General features: G+C 37.2%; 1 protein-coding gene across 4 annotated transcripts in view; it reads right to left on the bottom strand.

Annotated features, from left to right (window-relative positions):
* The window catches only part of ZNF726 (zinc finger protein 726), a 29,829-nt gene that overhangs the window by 4,245 nt on the left and 3,450 nt on the right, over nucleotides 1-22,134 (bottom strand). Inside the window, exons 2-4 of one of the 4 annotated variants that reach the window (NM_001244038.2) lie at nucleotides 20,971-21,097; nucleotides 20,388-20,483; nucleotides 5,986-8,127 (exon numbers count right to left, since the gene is read on the bottom strand). In NM_001244038.2, the coding sequence (NP_001230967.1) occupies nucleotides 6,503-8,127; nucleotides 20,388-20,483; nucleotides 20,971-21,097 (1,848 nt within the window). In that variant the 3' untranslated portion in view covers nucleotides 5,986-6,502. Of the gene's footprint in view, nucleotides 1-5,985; nucleotides 8,128-14,775; nucleotides 17,038-18,928; nucleotides 20,484-20,970; nucleotides 21,098-22,134 lie in introns of those variants that run through there. The other 3 variants (NM_001348688.2, NM_001348687.2, NM_001348689.2) reach the window with 3 other exon arrangements.

Genomic DNA, 22,134 nt, shown 5'->3' with positions numbered 1-22,134 from the left:
CAAGACTAAGCAAAAAGAACAAATCTCGAGGCACCACACTACCTGATTTCAAACTATAAGGCTCTAGTCACCAAAACAGCATGGTACTGGTATAAAAATAGGCACATAGACCAAAAGAAGAGTGAACCCAGAAATAAACCCAAATACAGCCAACTGATCTTCAACAAAGCAAACAAAAACATAATGTGGGAAAGGACACCCTTTTCAACAAATGGTGCTGGGATAATTGGCTAGCCACATGTAGGAGAATGAAACTGGATCCTCATTTCTCACCTTATATGAAAATCAACTCAAGATGAAATAAGGACTTAAACCTAAGACCTGAAACTATAAAAATTTTGCATGATAACCTTGGAAAAACCCTTCTAGGCATTGGCTAGGCAAAAATTTCATGACCAAAAGCAAACGCAGTAAAAACAAAGATAAATAGCTGGGACCTAATTAAACTAAAGAGGTTTTGCATGGCAAATGAAACAGTCAGCGGAGTAAACAGAGAACTCACAGAGTGGGAGAAAATCTTCACAATCTATACATCTGCCAAAGGACTAATATCCAGAATCTACAGTGAACTCAAACGAATCAGTCAGAAAAAAAAAAAAAAAAAAAATCCCATCAAAAAGTGGGCCAAAGACATGAATAGACAATTCTCAAAAGATATACAAATGGCTAACAAACATTTAAAAAGTTCAACATCACTAATGATAAGGGAAATGCAAATCAAAACCACAATGCCATACCACCTTATTCCTGCAAGAATGGCCATAATCAAAATATCGAAAAACTGTAGATGTTGGCGTGGATGCAGTGATCAGGGAACACTTCTACACTTCTAGTGGAAATCTAAACTAGTACAGCCGCTATGGAAAAAAGTGGGGAGATTCCTTAATGAACTAAAAGTAGAACTACCATTTGATCCAGCAATCTCACCACTGGGTATCTACCCACAGGAAAAGAAGTCATTATTTGAAATATAGACCAATGGAACAGAGAACCCAGAAATAAACCCAAATACTGATTATTTGAAAAAGAAACTTGAACATCCATATTTCCAGCAGCACAATTCACAATTTTGAACTCGTGGAACCAACCAAAATGCCCATCAATCAACAAACAGATAAAGAAACTATGACATATACATATATGTTGGAATACTACTCACCACAAAAAGAAATTAACAGCATTTGCAATGACCTGGATGATATTGGAGACTATTATTCTAAGTGAAGTAACTGAGGAATGGAAAACCAAACATCATATGTTCTTGCTGATATGTGGGAGGTAAGATATGAGAATGCAAAGGTATAAGAATGATAAAATAGACTTTGGAGACTTGGGGGGGAAGAGTGGGAAGGGGGAGGGATAAAAGACAACATATATGGTGCAGTATATACTGCTCAGGTGATGGGTCCATCAGGGTCTCACAAATCACCACTAAAGAACTTAACTCATCTAACCAAACACCACCTGTACCCCAATAAATGGAACAATGAAATTAAAAAAAAAATCATTCTTATACTTACAGACCAGCTCACATAATGAATATTTCATAAACTATTACACACAGGCCAGGCACGGTGGCTCACACCTGTAATCCCAGTATTTTGGGAGGCTGATGTGGGTGGATCACCTTAGGTCAGAAGTTTAAGACCAGCCTGACCAACATAGCAAAATCCTGTCTCTACTAAAAATACAAAAATTAGCTGGGCTGGTGGCGGGAACCTGTAATCCCAGCTACTTGGGAGGCTGAGGCAGGGGAACTGCTTGAACCTGAAAGGCAGAGATTGCAATGAGCCAACATCACACCATTGCACTCCAGTCTGGGCAACAGAGCAAGACTCCAGCTCAAAAAAAAAAAAAAGGAAAAAAAAAAGAAAAAAAAACTATTAAACGAACAAACAAAATTATGGTTCTAACATGAGTAACAGTCAAGTTAAAACAGAGAATTTGCATGGGGAGATTCTGAAGCATAAGCCAAAAGGTTATACAGTAATAAATTTAATACAAAGTACAGAGGATAGATTTACTTTCAGTAATTTTGAGAATTTTGGTTTTTTTCTAGTAAATTAGACACCTTCTTAAAATGATTTATTTTGTTCCAATATTACTTTTTTTTGGCTAAAAATAGTTTCAAACTTACACTAACACAAACACACTCCATAATTTATTTACATCTAAGATTATATATCACATGCCTGTATCAAAATATGCCATATATGGCATAAGCATATACACATATTACATATCCACAAAAATTAAGAAAAATAAATTTAAATGTAAAAATAAGAATAAAATTTAACCTATAGGAACAACATTCTTTAACTTATTGGCAATTTAAAGCCACTGACAAAAAGATTACTAGAGATGTCAGTCCATTATCTTACCAAATAGTGTATTGTTACCATCTTTTACCTACACCATTGAGTAAGGTGGAATAGGTTAAAGTTAGTGGCATAATGCTTCAATGAATTCATGATAGTATTTAACATGTTAAAAATGCTGAATTGAAAAGTTAAGTTCACACATAATTTAAAAATATACTGTATATTATTCCATAAAAGTACAGTAACATACTACTAACTTAATGTTAACTAAAGAATGTTTTTCAAGTGCTCAATGGTGCCCAGGCTGGAGTGCAGTGGCGTGATCTCGGCTTGCTACAACCTCCACCTCCCAGCAGCCTGCCTTGGCCTCCCAAAGTGCCGAGATTGCAGCCTCTGCCCGGCCACCACCCCATCTGGGAAGTGAGGAGCGTCTCTACCTGGCCGCCCATCGTCTGGGATGTGAGGAGCCCCTCTGCCTGGCTGCCCAGTCTGGAAAGTGAGGAGCATCTCTGCCCGGCCGCCATCCCATCTAGGAAGTGAGGAGCGCCTCTTCCCGGCCGCCATCCCATCTGGGAAGTGAGGAGCGTCTCTGCCCGGCTGCCCATCGTCTGAGATGTGGGGAGCACCTCTGCCCTGCCACCCTGTCCGGGATGTGAGGAGCGTCTCTGCCCGGCCGCCCCGTCTGAGAAGTGAGGAGCCCCTCTGCCTGGCAACCGCCCCGTCTGAGAAGTGAGGAGCCCCTCTGCCCGGCAGCCACCCCGTCTGAGAAGTGAGGAGCCCCTCCGCCCAGCAGCCACCCCATCTGGGAAGTGAGGAGGGTCTCCGCCCGCTAGCCACCTCGTCCGGAAGGGAGGTGGGGGGGTCAGCCCCCCGCCCGGCCAGCCGCCCCGGCTGGGAGGGAGGTGGGGGTCAGCCCCCTGCCCGGCCAGCCGCCCCGTCCGGGAGGGAGGTGGAGGGGTCAGCCACCCACCCGGCCAGCCACCCTGTCTGGGAGGGAGGTGGGGGGGTCAGCCCCCCCGCCCGGCCAGCCGCCCCGGCCGGGAGGGAGGTGGGGGGGGTCAGCCCCCCGCCCGGCCAGCCGCCCCGTTCGGGAGGTGAGGGGCGCCTCTGCCCAGCCGCCCCTACTGGGAAGTGAGGAGCCCCTCTGCCCGGCCACCACCCCGTCTGGGAGGTGTACCCAACAGCTCATTGAGAACGGGCCATGATGACAATGGCGGTTTTGTGGAATAGAAAGGGGGGACAGGTGGGGAAAAGATTGAGAAATCGGATGGTTGCCGTGTCTGTGTAGAAAGAGGTAGACATGGGAGACTTTTCATTTTGTTCTGTACTAAGAAAAATTCTTCTGCCTTGGGATCCTGTTGATCTGTGACCTTAAAAAATAAATAAATAAAAAATAAATTAAAATAAAAATAAAAATCAAACTGCCATGAAAAAAAAAAAGTTTTTCTTTCATGATAATGCATAAAAATATTACTCTGAACACCTACCTCATGCATCACTCAACATTACAAGTTAACCCAAAGAGCCTCTCTACTTAAATTTTCATCATGTATCTTACATTTTAATGTCCTTACCTTTCCATAGAAAAAGTCATAAAGGCCTACCTAATAAAAAAGAATCTCTCATATCTTTAATGCAGCTACAATTAGTCACATGTTTTCACATGTGAATACACCAGGAATGATGGAACAGCATGAAGTAATTTAAGAGTTTAACTCCATTATTTGCTTTTTTAAAATTCTGTATTTTCAAAAAAAAGTTATACTTTGATTGTAATTATAACTCTCCAAAAAATATTCTTCTTTTAAAGTTATATACAAATAATGTTTACACGAACTTTAGTTTGTATTATTTCCTATACTCAGCACTGATTTAGTGTAATGTCTAAAGTTTGAGTGCCCTAAATATTTCTACTGTGAATTATTCCCTGATATTTACATAGACTTAATTTTGGATTGAACATCTTTCATATTTAATGCATCTGCAAAAATATATTTTAGTATGAACGCTTTGGTGTTTCATAATTTGTAGTTTTTGAAAAAATGTTTTTCCAAATTCATTACATTTGCAGGGTTTTCTTCAATATAAACTCCCTGATGTTGAACAAAATTTTAATAACTGCCTCAGGGTTTTCCTCTAGTACAAAATGTGTACAATAAGATCTGTGAGACAAGTAAATGTATTACAACCCTCTTCATATTTGTAATGCTTTTTCAAAATAAATATGCTTCTGCACTTTAAAGACATATTTTCTGATCTTTTGACGGTAATTAGATTTTTAATGCTTTTATTCAGTATGAACTCTGATTTTGAGTAAGATGTGAGCAGGTATTAATGGCTTTTTTGCTTTGTCTATATTTGTACATTTGTTCTCAAATATAAATGCTTACCGGTGCAATAAGCTATGAGCATTGGTTAGAAGCTTGGCCACATTGTTCACATTGGTAGTTTTTTCCAGTATAAATGATCTTACATACAATGAAGTGCAACAATCATTTAAAGGCTTTGTCACATTCTTCACATTTCTAGGATTTGTCAGCAGCATGATTTTGTTTAGAAAAGTTTGAGATGCTGTCAAAGGCACTGGGCACATCTTTCAGATTTGTAGAGTTTCTCTTCAGTATGAATAATCTTATATCTGTTAAGAATTGAGGACTTTTTTAGGCTTTCCATATTATTCACACTTGTAAGATTTCTCTCCAATATGAGTTATCTTATCTGTAGTAAGATGTGAGGACTGGTTAAAGGCTTTGCCAATTTTTTCCCATTTGTAGGGTTGCTGTCCAGCATGAATTTTCTTATGTCTAGTTAGGGCTGAGGACCAGAAAAACACTTTGCCACATTCTTCACATTTGTAGAGTTTTACTCCAGTATGAATTACCTTATGTTTAATAAAAGTTGAAGACAGGTTAAAAGATTTCCCACATTCCATGGGAAACCTGCCCCTGTGATTCAGTTACCTCCCACTGGGTCTCTCCCCACAACATGTGGGGATTCAAGACGAGATTTGCGTGGGGTTACAGCCAAACTGTATCACCAGCCTTGCCCCTGGGCAGAAGCAGCAGCAGTCTGCCTGGCTGGATTCAAATGATTCTGAGACTTCTATAGTCTATGCCTCCAGATCTCTCCCTCACCCATGCTATGGTGTCTGAAATTCCACCATTAGAGAGTCATTTCTTGGCCTCTGTTAAAGGGACCAGGCTCTTTATAAAGCAAATGCCCCTAAGCAGCTGGCTCTGGCTTTATCAGGTATCTTTTCCCTGCCAGAAGGAAGGAAGCTAAGGTGCATCTGGGCATACTGTGTGCCCAGGCACTGTGCCAGATGCTTTGGATACTTGGAGTCATTGAATTCTGGTAGTAACTCTGTGAGAGAGGGAGCCTTTTCCCCACATTGCAGAAAAAGGAAAAAGAGCTCAGAGAGATCAAGAAATATCCCTGAGATCACATGGCTCCTAGTGGAGTCAGGATCCAAACCCGGTGTGTCTGATTCCTTAGCCCTTGGGGGTCCGGAGGCTGCTGAACAAGAGAGGAGCTGGAGAGGAGAGAAAGCCACAGGAATACCACTGTACACCCTTCTTGATTCTAGAAAGACTGTATGAAAATTCTGAACAGTGAACAGAATAAACAATAAAGGTGCAATGGAAAAAAAAGAAAGATTTCCCACATTCTTCAGACTTGCAGGGTTTCTTTCCAGTTTGAATTATCTTATGGTTACTCAGGATTGAAGACTGCTTAAAGGCTTTGACACATTTTTCACATTTGTAGGGTTTCTCTTCAGTATGAATTACTTTATGTTCAGTAACAGTTGAGGAACATTTAAAGGCTTTGCCACATTCCTCACATTTGTAAGGTTTCTCTCCAGTGTGCATCCTCTTATGTCTACTTAGGGGTGTGGACCATATGCTTTGCCACATTTTTCACATTTGTAGGGTTTATTTCCAGTATGAATTATCTTATGTGTAGTAAGATTTGAGAATGATTAAAAGCTTTCCCACATTCTTCACACTTGTAAGGTTTCTCTCCAGTGTGAATTATCTAATGTTTAGTAAGATTTGAGGATTAAAAGCTTTTTCACATTCTTCACATTTGTAGGGTTTCTCTCCAGTGTGCATCCTCTTATGTTTAGCGTTGAGGACCATATAAATGCTTTGCCACATTCTTTACCCTTTTTAAGGTTTCTCTCAAGTATGAATCCTCTTATGCTTAAAAAGGGTTGAGGACCAGATAAATGATTTGCCACATTCGTCACACTTGTAAGGTTTCTCTCCAGTATGAATTATCTTATGCGTACTAAGATTTGAGGATCGATTAAACGCTTTTCCACATTCTTCACACTTGTAAGGTTTCTCTCCAGTATGAATTATCTTATGTGTACTAAGATTTGAGGATTGATTAAAAGTTTTGCCACATTCTTCACATTTGTAGGGTTTCTCTCCAGTGTGAATCCTCTTATGTTTAGATAGGGTCGAGGACAATATAAATGCTTTGCCACATTCTTCACATTTGTAGGGTTTCTCTCCAGTATGAATTATCTTATGTGCAGTAAGGGTTGAGGACTGGCTAAAAGCTTTGCCACATTCTTCACATTTGTAGGGTTTCTCTCCAGTGTGCATCCTCTTATGTGTAGTTAGGGCTGAGGATCGGCTAAATGCTTTACTACATTCTTCACATTTGTAGGGTTTCTCTCTAGTATGAATTTTCTTATGTTCAGTAAGGTTTGAGGACCATATAAACGCTTTGCCGCATTCTTCACACTTGTAAGGTTTCTCTCCAGTATGAATTATCTTATGTTTAGTAAGATTTGAGGATCGATGAAAAGCTTTGCCACATTCTTCACATTTGTAGGGTTTCTCTCCAGTGTGAATCCTCTTATGTTTAGTTAGGGTTGAGGGCCATATAAATGCTTTGCCACATTCTTCACATTTGTAGGGTTTCTCTCCAGTATGAATTATCCTATGTGTAGTAAGGTGTCCGAATTGGCTAAAAGCTTTGGCACATTCTTCACATTTGTAGGGTTTCTCTCCACTGTGCAGCCTCTTATGTCTAGTTAGGGTTGAGGACCAAACAAATGCTTTGCCACATTCTTCACATTTGTAGGGTTTCTCTCCAATGTGCATCCTCTTATGTATGGTTAGTGCTGAGGGTTGGCTAAATGCTTTGCCACATTCTTCACATTTGCAGGGTTTCTCTCCAGTATGTATCCTCTTATGTATGGTTAGTGTTGAGGATTGGCTAAATGCTTTGCCACATTCTTCACACTTGTAAGGCTTCTCTCCAGTATGAGTTACCTTATGTGTAGTATAATTTGAGGATTGATTAAAAGCTTTGCCATATTCTTCACATTTGTAGGGCTTTTCTTCAGTATGAGTTTTCTTATGATTAGTAAGGGTTGAGGACCAATTAAAGGTTTTTCCACATTCTTTACATTTGTAGGACTTCTCTGTAGTATATATGCTTTTATGCTGGGTTTTGTGTGAAAACATGCAAAATGATTTGACACAATTTTTACATTTGAAAGGTTTCTTTCTAGTATGTCTTATCTTATATCTGTTTAAATTTATAAATTTATAAAAGACTTTCAAATATTTACCACATTGAGAAGCTTTGCCCTGGGTAGTTGTGAAACACTGGTTAAGTCCATTATAACCTTCTTTGTGTACCTTACACTCATCCACACTTTTACAACCTTTTCTTAACTGTAAATTCTCATGTCCACATTTTTCAAATCTTCTTAGTATTACTTTTTGAAAAGAATCTTCCACGCCCTGCTCTGGCCAAATGTCTTGAGCAAAATGAGGACATATACCTAAAAAAAAATTAAAATAATTTACTCCACTTACTATACTGACATAAATATAGTTTAAAAATCTTACCTATAAAATTATACAACCTACAAAAACAAGATGGTTTTGCAAAATACCACAGACCCTAATTCTTTCATAGACATTTAAATGTAACAAAAACTTACAAACCAAAATACATCTGTGGGAAATGTTCACAGATGTGAACATTCACTGTGTGCAGTGTTCCAGAAGAGCACAATGCAAAAAACCACATAGAAGAAAAAGAAAAGTCTAAATTTACCCAACACAGCTTTTCCTGCTTCCCACTATAACATAGTGCCTTTAGAAGTAAATTGCAAACTCTTCATTTCTGTTTTAAAAGAAAGGTAAAATACTGGCACATTCATTATCATTTCTGGCTTTTAGGGGCTTTTTTTGGACACTGTTTTCTGTCTCTCATGACATAAAGTGCTGACAGAAATGGTGGTATACTTCGGAATGAGAGTTTGAGTCCACTGAGACCAAAGAGAAATGTTCCAGCAGCCGCCAGACTGCAGTACCACAGAAAAGGAACAGGTGTAGCAAGTGATTACTGACTCCTACAAAGTAATATGAATAAACTCTCTTAACTAAAAACTGAACACAAAATTTCAGACAATACAGGTCCTAAGAATATGTTTGAAAAACTGCCATAATGATGAGCCAAGACAATTGTTTTCAGACTATGCCAGGACAAAGCCACATTATAAAAATTTTGACAGGTAGATTTTTCTAATGTAAAAAACTGAAAGCTTATAATATATACAAAATATAGCAGTATCATCCCACCAAAAATATCATAAAATTTTCTGAAAGAAACCATAAAAAAATAAGATTTATACATTAATTTTAAGAATTGGTAATAAATTGAATAATACTGATTAAAACAGGAACAGAGACAAGTATGGAAAATCACAAAAATGAGGACGAGAACAAAAATATTTAACATTTCATAAAAACGGAAACTGTGGAGGTAAAAAATACAAAAGGAAACTGACAGATCCTAAAAGTTAGAAAAAATGATGTAAAAATAAAGAAGCTCAGTTGCGGTTTTGGCTGGGGAGCGGTGGCTCATGCCTGTAATCCCGGCACTTCGGGAGGCTGAGGCAGGTGGATCATGAGGTCAGGAGATCAAGACCATCCTGGCTAACAGGGTGAAACCCCATCTCTACTAAAACAATACAAAAAGTTAGCTGGGCATGGTGGCAGGTGCCTGCAGCCCCAGCTACTCAGAAGGCTGAAGCACTAAAATTGCTTGAACCTGGAAGGTGGAGGTTGCAGTGAGCTGAGATCACGCCACTGCACTCCAGTGAGGGTGACAGAATAAGACTCCATCTCAAAAAAGAAAAAAAGAAGGAAAAATTGGTAGCTGTTTAATACGTATTAAGATTTAGCTTTGCAAGATAGAAACATTTTAGCAATATGTTGCATTACAATGTCAAGACAATATGACTAAACTGAATATTTAAAAATATTTTGTGGTAAATTTTGTCGTGTTTTTTAGACAAGCAAAAATAAACAATAATACCTAAAAGAGATAAATAATTATGATTGTTTTAAATTATATTCAAATCCAAAAATGTTTCTACCACACAAAAATTACATAGACTCACAAATAAATAGGATGTTGAAATTACAATAATTTTATGACTTCACATCTACACAGGATTAGAAAACCATTCACAACAAACTTACACAACAAATATACACGTTATTAAAAAAATACAAGGATAACATTTATACAGGCAAACAAACATACAGATAATTCTATCAGAAAAAGACATATGGCTAATTCATATATGATTTTGCTCCACAATGTCTTAAATTATATAAAGTTAAAATATTGGCATGCACAATTATAATATATACTAAAAAATCAAAACACAATTAATGGATGTGTGGTAGCATACCCTAAAATATATAACATAAAAATATAAACTTCCAAAACAAAATTAAAACATGGAATGTAAAAGTGATTGGATACCATCAACTAGATCAATATATTCATTAAGAAAATCTCAGAGGAAGAATATGGGAAAAAAATAACATAGAGATTACTTGAAGATAAAAATTCCCAAATTTTGATGTAATAAAAGGAAAAAATATTTCTAACCAATAATATTTGATTTAAATGTATTTCTCTTTAAAAAGATGAAAATTAAAAAATCCAAAATAAAAGGTAAGGGTGTTCATCACCAGTAGCACAGTTCTACCAAAAAAAATGGTACATGGTGGCCAGGCACCGTGGCTCATGCCTCTAATTTTACAGTTTTAGGAGGCCAAGGCTATCAGAACACTAGAGGCCAGGAGTTTCAGGTCAGCCTGAGTAATACAGTGAGACTCTACATATAGTAAGAACTGCTATAATAAGTCCATTTTGTTTAAAAATACTACTGGACAGCATCATAAAACCATATATAAAATAAAGCTCTCTATTAAATGTAAATATACAAATATAGAAATTTTTACTATTATAATGATGATGCATATAACTCTTAAAGCTATTCTGTAGAATATTTAAAACAGAATAAAAACCTGCATAAATATGTTAATACACAATATAAAATAATTTTAACATTAATAAACTGAAAAATATAGAGGTATAATCTTTATATTCAATTGAAGTTGTCATGAGATATAAATATATTGTTTTAATTTTAAGATGTTTCATGTAAACTCCATTTTTTAAGATGATATGGTTTGCCCATGTCCCAACCCAAGACTCATCTTTAATTCCCACATGTTGTGGGAGGGACGTGGTGGAAGGTAATTGAATCATGGGGGCAGGTCTTTTCTGTGCTGGTCTCATGATAGTGAATAAGTCTCATGAAATCTGAAGGCTTTATAAGGCAGAGTTTTCCTGCACAAGCTCCCTCTCTTGTCTGCCACCATGTGAGACATGCCTTTCACCTTCCACCATGATTGTGAGGTCTCCCCAGTCACACACAACTGTAAGTCCAATAAACCTCTTTCTTTTCTAAATTGCCCAGTCTCAGGTATGTCTTCATTAGCAGCATAAAAACAGACGAATACACAAGATGATTATGAAGATAATATTTATAGAAACTATGCAAAACAAGATATAAAAAATAATTGAAGCACATCACTACACAATTAAAATGAAATTTAAGGCAATAAACCAACATATAAAAAATACCACTGAGGAACACATAAAACAATCACAATAAAAGTAGTAACTTCATTTTTAATAAATAATTTTAAATATAAATTAAACTACTTAATAGAAAAAAATATAATCTCAGGACTTTGAGAGGTTAAGATGGGCTGATCACTGGATCTCAGAAGTTTGAGACCAGCCTTGGCAACGCGGCAAAACTGTCTCAACCATAAATACAAAAAAAACTAGCTAGGTGTGATGCTACACACTTGTAACCCAGCTACCTGAGAGGCTGAAATGAGAGAATCTTCTGAGTTTGAGAAACTGAGGCTGCTGTGAGCCATGATCACAACACTGCAAACCAGCCTGGTTGACAGAGTGAGACCTATCTCAAAAATAAATGAATAAACAAGTAAATAAATGAAATTATAAAAAGAAAAAATAAAATGCTTTAGTGGCTTAAGAAAAAGCAAACCATATGCCACCTACAAGGGACTCATTTTAGCACTGAGTCAAATAGGCTGAAAATTACATAGTGCAAAAACCTGTATTTTATGAAAATAGTAACTACACTTGGGTTTTAGACATAATATATTTTAAGTCAAGTGCTAACGTGAGACAAACATTGGTAGTATATATTGGTAAAATGGGTTGATATTACCACAAATGTATAACTACTATATCTATCTATCTATCTATCTCTCTATCTATCTGTATGTGTATGTACAATATCAGGGCTCCAAAATATATAAAGTAAATATTGACAAAAGTAAAGCAAGAAATACATAGCAACATAATAATTGTAGACATCAAGACCCCATTTTCCGTAATAGAAAATTCACATTAAACAAAAAATAAGAAAACAGAAAACCTAGACAACATTATAGACTGTATCAATTATTTTGCATATAGGTGAATACTGGAGAGTGGATAACTTATAAAGAAATAATATTTATTTGGCTCACAATTTAGCAGACTGTAGAAAGTGTGCCAGCATCTGCTTCTGGTGAGAGTGTCACCAAGCTTACAGTCATGATTGAAGGCGAAGAGTAACTGCACATATTACATGATGAGAGACAGAGCAAGTATGAGGCGAAGGAGCCAGGTTCTTCTAATAAACCTGCTTTCATTTGAATTAATGGAGTATAAACATTTTCATTACTGAGAGGATGGTGCCAAGCTATCTATGAGGACTTTGCCCCCATGACCCAAACACCTCCCACCAGGTCTCACATCCAACATTAAAAATTGCATTTAATCATAAGGTTTGGAGGACATGAACATCAAAACCATATTATAGACCAACTAGGTTTAACAGATGAGTACAGAACTTTCCAGTCAAAAGCAAGAAAATACACAATATTCTTATTTGCAGCTGGTGTATTCTGTTAGGACACATACTAAGTTTTATCAAATTTAAGAATGCCAGCTGGGTGGTGTAGCTCATGCCTATAATCCCAACACTTAGAGAGACCAAGGTGGGAGGATCACTTGGAGTTAAAAGTTTGAGGCCAGCCTGGGCAACTCTATCCCTACAAATAATCAAAGAATTATTCAGACATGGTACGTTATGTTTGTAGTCCCAACTACTGGAGACACTGAGGTGGAAAGATCACTTGAGCCCAGTAGGTTGAGGCTGCAGTGAGCCAAAATCATGCCAGTACACTCCAGCCTGGGTGACAGAGTAAGATCCTGTATACAAACAAAAACCACAACAAACACAACAATAACAAATAAATTTAAGAAGACCAAAATTACACACTTTGTGTTGTCTGACCAAAACTGAATTAAACTAGAAATTAAAAGTAAAACTGAACAATATAAAAATATATAAAAATAAAACACACTTTTCAACATATTTTTGCTCAGGAATAAAAAAACATTAATTTTTCAAAATGTCAATACAACCTACAGTGGTAGACATATTTAATATAATTTTTATGGCCGGGTGAGGTGACTCACACCTGTAATCCTAGCACTTTGGGAGGCTGAGGCGGGTGGATTGCCTGAACTCAGGAATTCTAAACCAGCCTGGGCAACACAGTGAAACCCCGTCTCTACTAAAAATACAAAAAAATTTAGCTGGGCATGTAATCCCAGCTACTCTGGAAGTTGAGACAGGAGAATTGCTTGAACCTGGGAGGCAGAGGTTGCAGTGAGCCGAGATAGTGCCACTGCACTCCAGCCTGGGCGACAGAGCAAGACTCCATCTCAAAAAATAATAATTTTTATATAAATCCAAATAGGGGTTTTTTAAGGAAACATTGTTTAAAATGTTAAAATTTTATTATGAACTATAGACAAACACCCATGAAAAACAACAGAGACATTATATTTTCTGATTTTGAAACACATTAAAATCAACAATAACAAAAACAATTTGGTACTGACACAAAGACAGATAAAGAGATGAAAGAACAGAATAGAGAGCCCAGAAATGAACCCTTCTGTGTAAGGCCAAATAATCTCCCACAAAATTAACATGAGCACACAGTAGAAAAAAGATAATCTTTTCAAAAAATTATGTTGAAAGCTGAACATCCATAACGATAAAATGAAGTTCGATTATTTCTCTATACCATATGTGAAAAATCTTTTCATTAGACATAGGAAGATAACTTTTTTTTTTTTTTTTTTTTGGAACAGAGTCTTGCTCTGTTGCCCAGGCTGGAGTGCAGCCCAGGTGGAGTGCAGTGGCATGGTCTCGGCTCACTACAACCTCCGCCTCCTGGGTTCAAGTGATTCTCCCACCTCAACCTCCTGAGTTGCTGGGATTAACATGCACGCCATCACGCTCAGCTAATTTTTTTGTATTTTTAGTAGAGACGGGGTTTCACCACGTTGGCCAGGCTTGTCTTGAACTCCTGTCCTTATGATCCGCCCACCTCAGCCTCTCAAAGCGCTGGGATTACAGGCATGAGCCACCGCACCCGACCGGATAACTTCTTAATCTCTTTAAAATATATAGGGAAAACACGACATCAGTCTTGGGGCCATTTTCTTAGATATAAAATTAAATGCATGAGCACCAAAGAAAAAAACAAAAAATTTAACTACACTACACTTCAACATTTCTGCACATATAAATATTTAAAAGATGGATAATGCATTCTAGAAAATGGGTGAAAATATTTACAAATTACATGTGATGGGAGTCAATATTCAAAAACTATAAACTTTTAAAACCAAACAATAGCCGGGCGTGGTGGCTCACACCTGTAATTGCAGCACACTGAAAGGCAGAGGCAGGCGGATCACGAGGACAGGTGTTCCAGACCATCCTGACCAACATGGTGAAACTCTGTCTCTACTAAAAATACAAAAATGAGCCAGGCATGGTGGCACACGCCTGTTATTTCAGCTACTCACAAGGCTGAGGTGGGAGAATCGCTTGAACCCAGGAGGCGGAGGTTGCAGGGAGCCGAGATCTCACCATTGCACTTCAGCCTGGGTGACAGAGCAAGACTTCATCTCCCAAAAAAAAAAAAAAAAAAAGAAAAGAAAAACTGAACAATCAAATTGAATAACTTTATTTAGAAATAGACAAATTGAAATAAATTTTCTTCAAAAATTTGAAAGGACACTCAAAACTAATTTGTAGAGAAATGCATAAAAGTCATAATAAAAAACAAAATCCCCTCACACTCATTTAAATGGCCACTATCAATTTTTTGAAAACACCAAATCTGTTGATGATGCAATAAAAATAAAACCCTTGGCCGGGCGTGGTGGCTCAAGCCTGTAATCCCAGCACTTTGGGAGGCAGAGGTGGGTGAATCCTGACGTCAGGAGTTTGAGACCAGCCTGACCAACATGGTGAAATCCCGTCTCTACTAAAAATACAAAAGTTAGTTGGGTTGATTGTCGGTGGAAAATAAAGATGTACCAATTATTTTATAATGTTATAAATGTACTTCAAATAATATAAATTATTAAATAAAGTGATTCCATTTATGAATCTATATCTAAAATACATAACATAGGAACCTGAAGACATATTTGATACAATGGAATATTATTCAGCCTTGAAAAAAATCGTCACATTTGAAGATACACTTTGAGAATATTATGCCAACTGAAATAAACCAGTAAAGAAATGATGGATGTTACGATTTCACTTAGATATATAAGACAATTACACTTGTAAAAACAGAAAGTGGAAAAGTGCTTCTCAAGGGCTAAAGAGAGCATAAAATGGGTAAATGTTATTTAATGGATATTGAGTTTTAGTTTTACAAGATGTAAAATTTCTAGAAGTCTTTTGCATAACAATGTGAATATACATGATATGCCTGAAATATACACTTTTTTTTTTTTAAGACAAGGTCTCAATCTGTCACCCAAGTTTGAGTACAATGGGACAATTATGGCTCACTGCAGCCTCACACTCCCAGCGTCAAGTAATCCTGACCCTCAAACTCTCAAGTAGCTGGGACCACAGGTGCACACCACCATGCCTTGCTATTTCTTAGAAAAAAATATCTGTAGAGAGGGTGTCTCCATATTTTACCCAGGTTGGTCTCAATCTTTTGGGCTCAAGCAAACCTCCTGTCCCGGCCTCTCAAAATCCTGGTTTTACAGAAGGGATCCACCACATTGCCTCGCCCTGACATGTACATTTAAATGGATTTAAGAAGGTAAATTATATGTTATGTTTTTTTAAAACAATTATTTTTTAAAAAACTGGAGACAATACAGGATTATGAATCTTTTTTAAAAATTACCTTCAAATCACAAAAGAATTATCTCACACAAAGGAAATATATATTCATCATTAAACACATGGTGAAAATAAGACTATTTCCAAGGCTACTAACTTAGACAAGATAAAACCAACATTGAAAATGAGCTAAGAGGCCAGGCAAGGCGGCTCACGCCTGTAATCCCAGCACTTTCAGAGGCCAAGGTGGGCATTTCAACTGAGGTCAGGAGTTTGAGACCAGCCTGACCAACATGGAGAAATACCATTTCTACTAAAAAAAAAAAAAAAATACAAAATTAGCCAGGTGTGGTGGCATGTGCCTGTAATCCCAGCTACTCAGGAGGCTGAGGCAGGAGAATTACTTGAACCCGGGAGACAGAGGTTGCAGTGAGTCAAGATCGTGCATTACACTTCAGCCTCGGCAACAAGAGTAAAACTTCCTCTCAAAGAAAAAAAAAAAAGAGCTAAGAAAGAATATATACAAGGTATAACCAAAATTGGGGTCATATTTATAGATATAAACACACACACATATATATAATTTGACTGTGATAGACATGGCTCATTTATCTTTTAATTAAACTCCACATTAACTTAAAGTATACAAAACATAATATATAAGAAAAAACCAATAGGCACAATAAACTGATGTTAGGAAACTTACACTACAAAAAACACTAATATAAAACTGCAACACAATAACAGAAATGTTTACTCATTACAACTAGTTGGCAACATTTATGTACATTAACAAATAATTTGTCTAGATAACTGCAATGTTTGACTGTAACTGTGCATTCATGGAAGGCAGGCATTTTAAATTACTGGCATCTGTAATCCCAGCACTTTGGGAGGCCGAGGCGGGCAGATCACGAGATCAGGAGATCGAGAGCACGGTGAAACCCCGTTTCTACTAAAAATACAAAAAATTAGCCAAGCGCGGTGTCGGCACCTATAGTCCCAGCTACTCAGGAGGCTGAGGCAGGAGAATGGCTTGAACCTGGGAGGCGGAGGTTGCAGTGAGCCAAGATCACGCCACTGCACTCCAGCCTGGGTGACAGAGCGAGACTCCATCTCAAAAAAAAAAAAAAAAAAAATTACTGGCATCTATTGTATGGCAATAAAATTTCAGAGAAAATGCAGTACAATCATAAATAGGAGATGCTAATGAGAAACTTTTAATAGATAAGCATTTAAAAGAAATTCATGCCAATTTTTATGTTTTAAATATATGCTATTTTTACACAAAATAAAACTACTGTAATCCAAGTTTAGAAGCAAAGAATAGCCTTACATTGCTTAATTATATATATATTTAGCAGAATATGGTTAGAGCCTCATATGTGAAACAAATATTTGGGGAATAAATTATGTTATTTAGTTATAGGCTGACAAAAGTGGTTGAAAATTCTGTAATTCCTTTTTGCCTGCCTGCGTATTATCTAATTTAATTCAGGAACAACATGTAAATTCTAGTATATTGTCCTAAATGTCTGAATCTAAAATTACAGACAAATTTGAAGTAGAAAATAGAAAGTAAAAATTTATATGGAGAGTGGCATTAATAAGATAAAAAAAAAAAAAGGTGACCTATTTGCTTATCCCCTGACAGCAAGAAAATTTGTCATCCATTCCTGACAAAAATGCTTTTATGAGAGAACCAGGCATCATGGTTCACACCTGTAATGAAAACTACATGGTACATTACAGTTGAAGAACTGCTTGAGGTCAAAATATTAAGACTTGCCTGGATTATGTAGCAAGACCTCATCTCAAAAATAAATGCCTTTAAGAGAGCTCTGAGATCCAGGAAAGGAGTTGTGAAATTCTGCTAAAGCCCAAGATTCAAGGTAATTCTGTTTAGAAGGCAGGCCTCCGTTCAGGTTGCAAACTACATGACCACTGTTTTTGGCTACAGACAAGAAAGTGCTCCACCTAACTTGGTTCCACTGAGAATTTTAAACTTACTCTGTAACCATCCCAAACTCTTCACAGCCACAGTCTTGGGAGCCAATGGGCAGCGTGGGTCCTGCCCTTCCAGAGGCCTGGAGGAAGACCTCCATTTATAGCCATGATGGCAGGCCTCAGACCTTGGCCTTTCCTGTGGTCCCTGAAGCAGTTCCATGACTCAGTTCCAGCTCCCTGAGCCACAGTTCATGGCCAGTTCTGCCTATGTAGAAATCCAAAGTGACCTGGGAAAATCCTCTCTTGTACTGGGTGAAAGCCATGCTCATCCACATCCTGATATAAAGAACACCATATACAGACCTGACTGCAGAAACCTGCCCTTGGGTCTGCCCTTCAGAGCAAAGTCCTGAAGGATACTCACTCTGTCTAAAATTTAAATGAGAATTACAAATATCCAAGCCCTGTTTAACAAGACAACTAAAAGTGGACCCTTGTGCAAACCCAGCAGACTTAAGACCAAGCTACAACCCCTCTTCACTACAAACCCAGAGGATATTCTATCACCCTGGGGGTACAACGAAAATAGATTTTTAGTTTCTGAAACCAGTTTATAAAATTCTGAAGAGGTGTTTGCTCCTTCAAATTTACAGACACCAACGCAATACTATTGTCTCTTATTGTCAATGCTTCTATTTTAACATAGCACTGAAAGTATGTGAATTAAGAAGTAGTCAAAACAAAAATTTAAAGTCATTGAAATTGAAGACCAATAAGTAAAACGTCACTGTTTGTAGATTATGTCATCTTACATATAAAAAAGTACATTAAAACCTCTTTAAACTAATTAATACACTCAGTTGATTAGCAAAATATGAAATTAACATACAATTATAAGTTATCATTCCATACACTTAAAACCATCTCTCTGATAAAATAGAGGAAAAAACATTATTTACAATAGCAATAAAATAATCAATTTTAGAACAAATTTAACCAAGCAGCTCATAAATCTTTTAAGTGAAAGATATAGCAATAAAAAAATTAGAGAGGACACAAATAAATTTAAAAATATTTTATTTCTATTGAAAGAATAAGTATTGTGAAACTGCCATATTATCTAAGGTGATCTCTAGACTCAATAAACTCCCTGTCAAAATTCCAGTTTTTCACAGTAATGAAAATTACAATCCTAAAATGTACACGAAACCACAATAAATTTTGAATAGCCAAAGCAATCTTGAGGAAAAAGAACAAAGCAGAAGGACATTATACTTTATAATTTCAAACTATATATATATACATCGAGAGAGAGTCTTGCTCTGCCGCCCAGGCTAAAGTACAGTGGCATGATCTCAGCTCATTGCAACCTCTGGCTCCTGGGTTCAAGCAATTCTCCTGCCTCAGCCACCTGAGTAGCTGGGATTACAGGTGCCCACCACTGAGCCCAGCTAATTTTTTTATTTTTAGTATAGATGGGGTTTCACCATGTTGGCCAGGCTGGTCTCAAATTCGTGACCTCGTGATTCACCCACCTTGGCCTCCCAAAATGCTGGGATTACAGGCGTGAGCCACCACGCATGGCCCAAACTATATTTCAAGGCTATAGTAATGAAAACAGGATGCCCGTTCCAGCCAGTGGAAACTGGACACAGCAGTAGAGTGGACACATCAGGTTATAAATGACCCTGTCTCCTTTGCTCAGTGTACTCTCATGGCAAAACTGCTGGCGAGTATACCCTTTCTGCAGGAAGTAAAAACGGCCATATTAAATAAACAAAAAAAAAAAAGAAAGCAAGAAAAAAAACAGGATGAAATGAGCAGAAAAACAAACAAACAAAAAAAAACCCCTAATGAAACAGAAACCACTACTCTTGTGCAAAAAGAGAGGCCAGGCACGGTGGCTCACACCTGTAATCCCAGCACTTTGGGAGTCTGAGGTGGGTGGATCACCTGAGGTCAGGAGACCAGCCTGGCCAACATGATGAAACTCCGTCTCTACGAGAAATACAAAAAATTAGCCAGTTGTGGTGGTGTGCACCTGTAACCCCAGCTACTCAGGAGCCTGAGGCAGGACAATCACTTCAACCTGGGAGGCAGAGGTTGCAGTGAGCCGAGATCGCACCATTGCACTCCAGCATGGGCCACAAAAGCGAAACTCCTTCTAAAACAAAAAAAAATTTTAACATAGAGTGTCTCAAAACTATGCAGATATCTATCTGTCCACAAAAACAAGAAAAAAAAAGTCAGATTGTACACTCTTTTATATGCCATGAACAGTACTTTGGCTGTCACTGTAAACGTTAAGGAAGATCATTGAAGGGAGAGTAGAATTCTTAGAGATTTTATAAGCATAAGCAGAAGATGCCCCTATCTGAGAGTATATTTTTTTTTAAATTTCAGGCTTTCCAGAAACGGTTTCCTTTGGAATGCAGCTTTCCAAATCACTTTAAAGACTGGCTTTCTTCTTGACGTTGGACCTCTCATCCAGGTCATCTGTTGTATTCACTCTCACCTACCTGGGGGTTCATCCACCATCTCATCTCGCTTCATATTCCAGGGCTCTTTTTCTTTCTCCAGACAGATGATGAGGTCTGGCTTAGAGACAGCAATACCTGTTTTATTAAAAATAATTAACATGAATCTTGCTCATATTCTCCAATTACCAACTTAGTAATGTGCAAAGTAAAAGGGATATAATAGAATATTCTAATAAATTTATCCCATATACTAATTTATAACAGAAATTTTTAAATATTTACAGAATATTTTAATTTTGTAGGTTCTTAATTTCACTGCCTGGTACTACTGAAGCAAAAATTGGTAATGGCACTTGGATTTTAAGGTGTGAATAACAATATTTTATGCCACTAAGGTTCTGAAATTACCACTAATCTAAAGCGAAAGACACAGATCAGCTCAGGAATGTGGAAATTTCAGGTCAGGATGAAACATCTTGAAGAAATTTTTTCTAAACAGACAAATCCCCAGGATTTTCTTGAAAACAGAAATAGGAAAGCATAAATTACCAGAAAACATACTACAAAAGAAAAATAAAAGCTTTAGTTTATATTAAAAATTTTGTATTAAAGTTATCCTCACCCAGGAAGGCCAGGTTTCTGTAGTTCTCTAACATCACATTCCTATATAAATTCTTCTGTGCAGTGTCCAGGCACTGCCACTCCTCCAGAGAGAATTCTATGGCCACATCCCTAAATGTCAACAGTCCCTGGAAAATACACACAAACACACATATTTACAAAGTGGCTATGGGCAGAATTTTTCATTTGACTCAAGGTAAAATCAGAAAGTGAATAGAATTGATTCTAACTTATAAGAGGGACTGAAATTATCCAATAAAATAATTGTCAAAACACAAACATTTTCTAATGTATTCTCTAACTCTGAGAAAAGAGACTGGCATAATATCCAGAACATCAGTGTATATATGATACTTTTCTGAATGATAAAGTGTAAAAATGTACTAACATGTACATTTTTGAGTACAGTATTTACATAATACTGAATGAGTTGTGTATATTTTTCAGATGAAAAAGACAGCTGTTTATATTTTTCAGACAAAATAAACATGTTGAGTTAGAAGGTACCACTCAAATTTAAATGTGTACAATAAACTGGACATCTCGTTAATGCAGAGTATTTTTTCAGAAGATCTGAAATAAAGTCTGAGTTACTGAATCTCTATCAAGCTCATTAGTAATGCAAATGTTTTGGCCCCAAAAGACTATTTTGTCAAACATCCAGTAAGTGGAAGAGTCGTGTTTTTTTTTTCAGTTTTTCTGGCCTGTAAACAAAGATGAGAGCTTTCATTTACCAACAAAAGATAAATGCAAAGAATACCTAAAAAAAACAGGCAGCTGCCATTTAAGTGTGATGGTTTATGCACATCAGCTGCATGAAGATACTTAATGATGAAGAGAAAAATAACTCCATAAAGAAAAATTCTGTAAGAGAGCTTATGGAATTAACATCAACTGCACTAGGACAAGTCTTTATAGTGTGCTGATGCACGCAGGACACAGCATCACTACTGAGGTATTACCCCCACTAAAGCAAATTACAGTCTGAATTTAGCCCTAAGAAAACATCATTTTTATGGAAAGTCCAAGATACAGATATCTTCCATGTTCTACAATTTTTAATAGTGATTTTAAGTGGCCTTTTTTTAGCACCCTAATAAGCAGGTATCTCCCGACAGTTTTTTCAGAACTTTCTGGGTAATAAATGCCATCCTGTTTAAATGAG

This window comes from Homo sapiens, chromosome 19, assembly GCF_000001405.40.
Source record: "Homo sapiens chromosome 19, GRCh38.p14 Primary Assembly".
NCBI classification, from domain to species: Eukaryota; Metazoa; Chordata; class Mammalia; order Primates; family Hominidae; genus Homo; species Homo sapiens.
The sequence above is the reverse complement of the archived record's forward strand: the minus strand, read 5'-3'. Positions and strand labels throughout refer to the sequence as shown.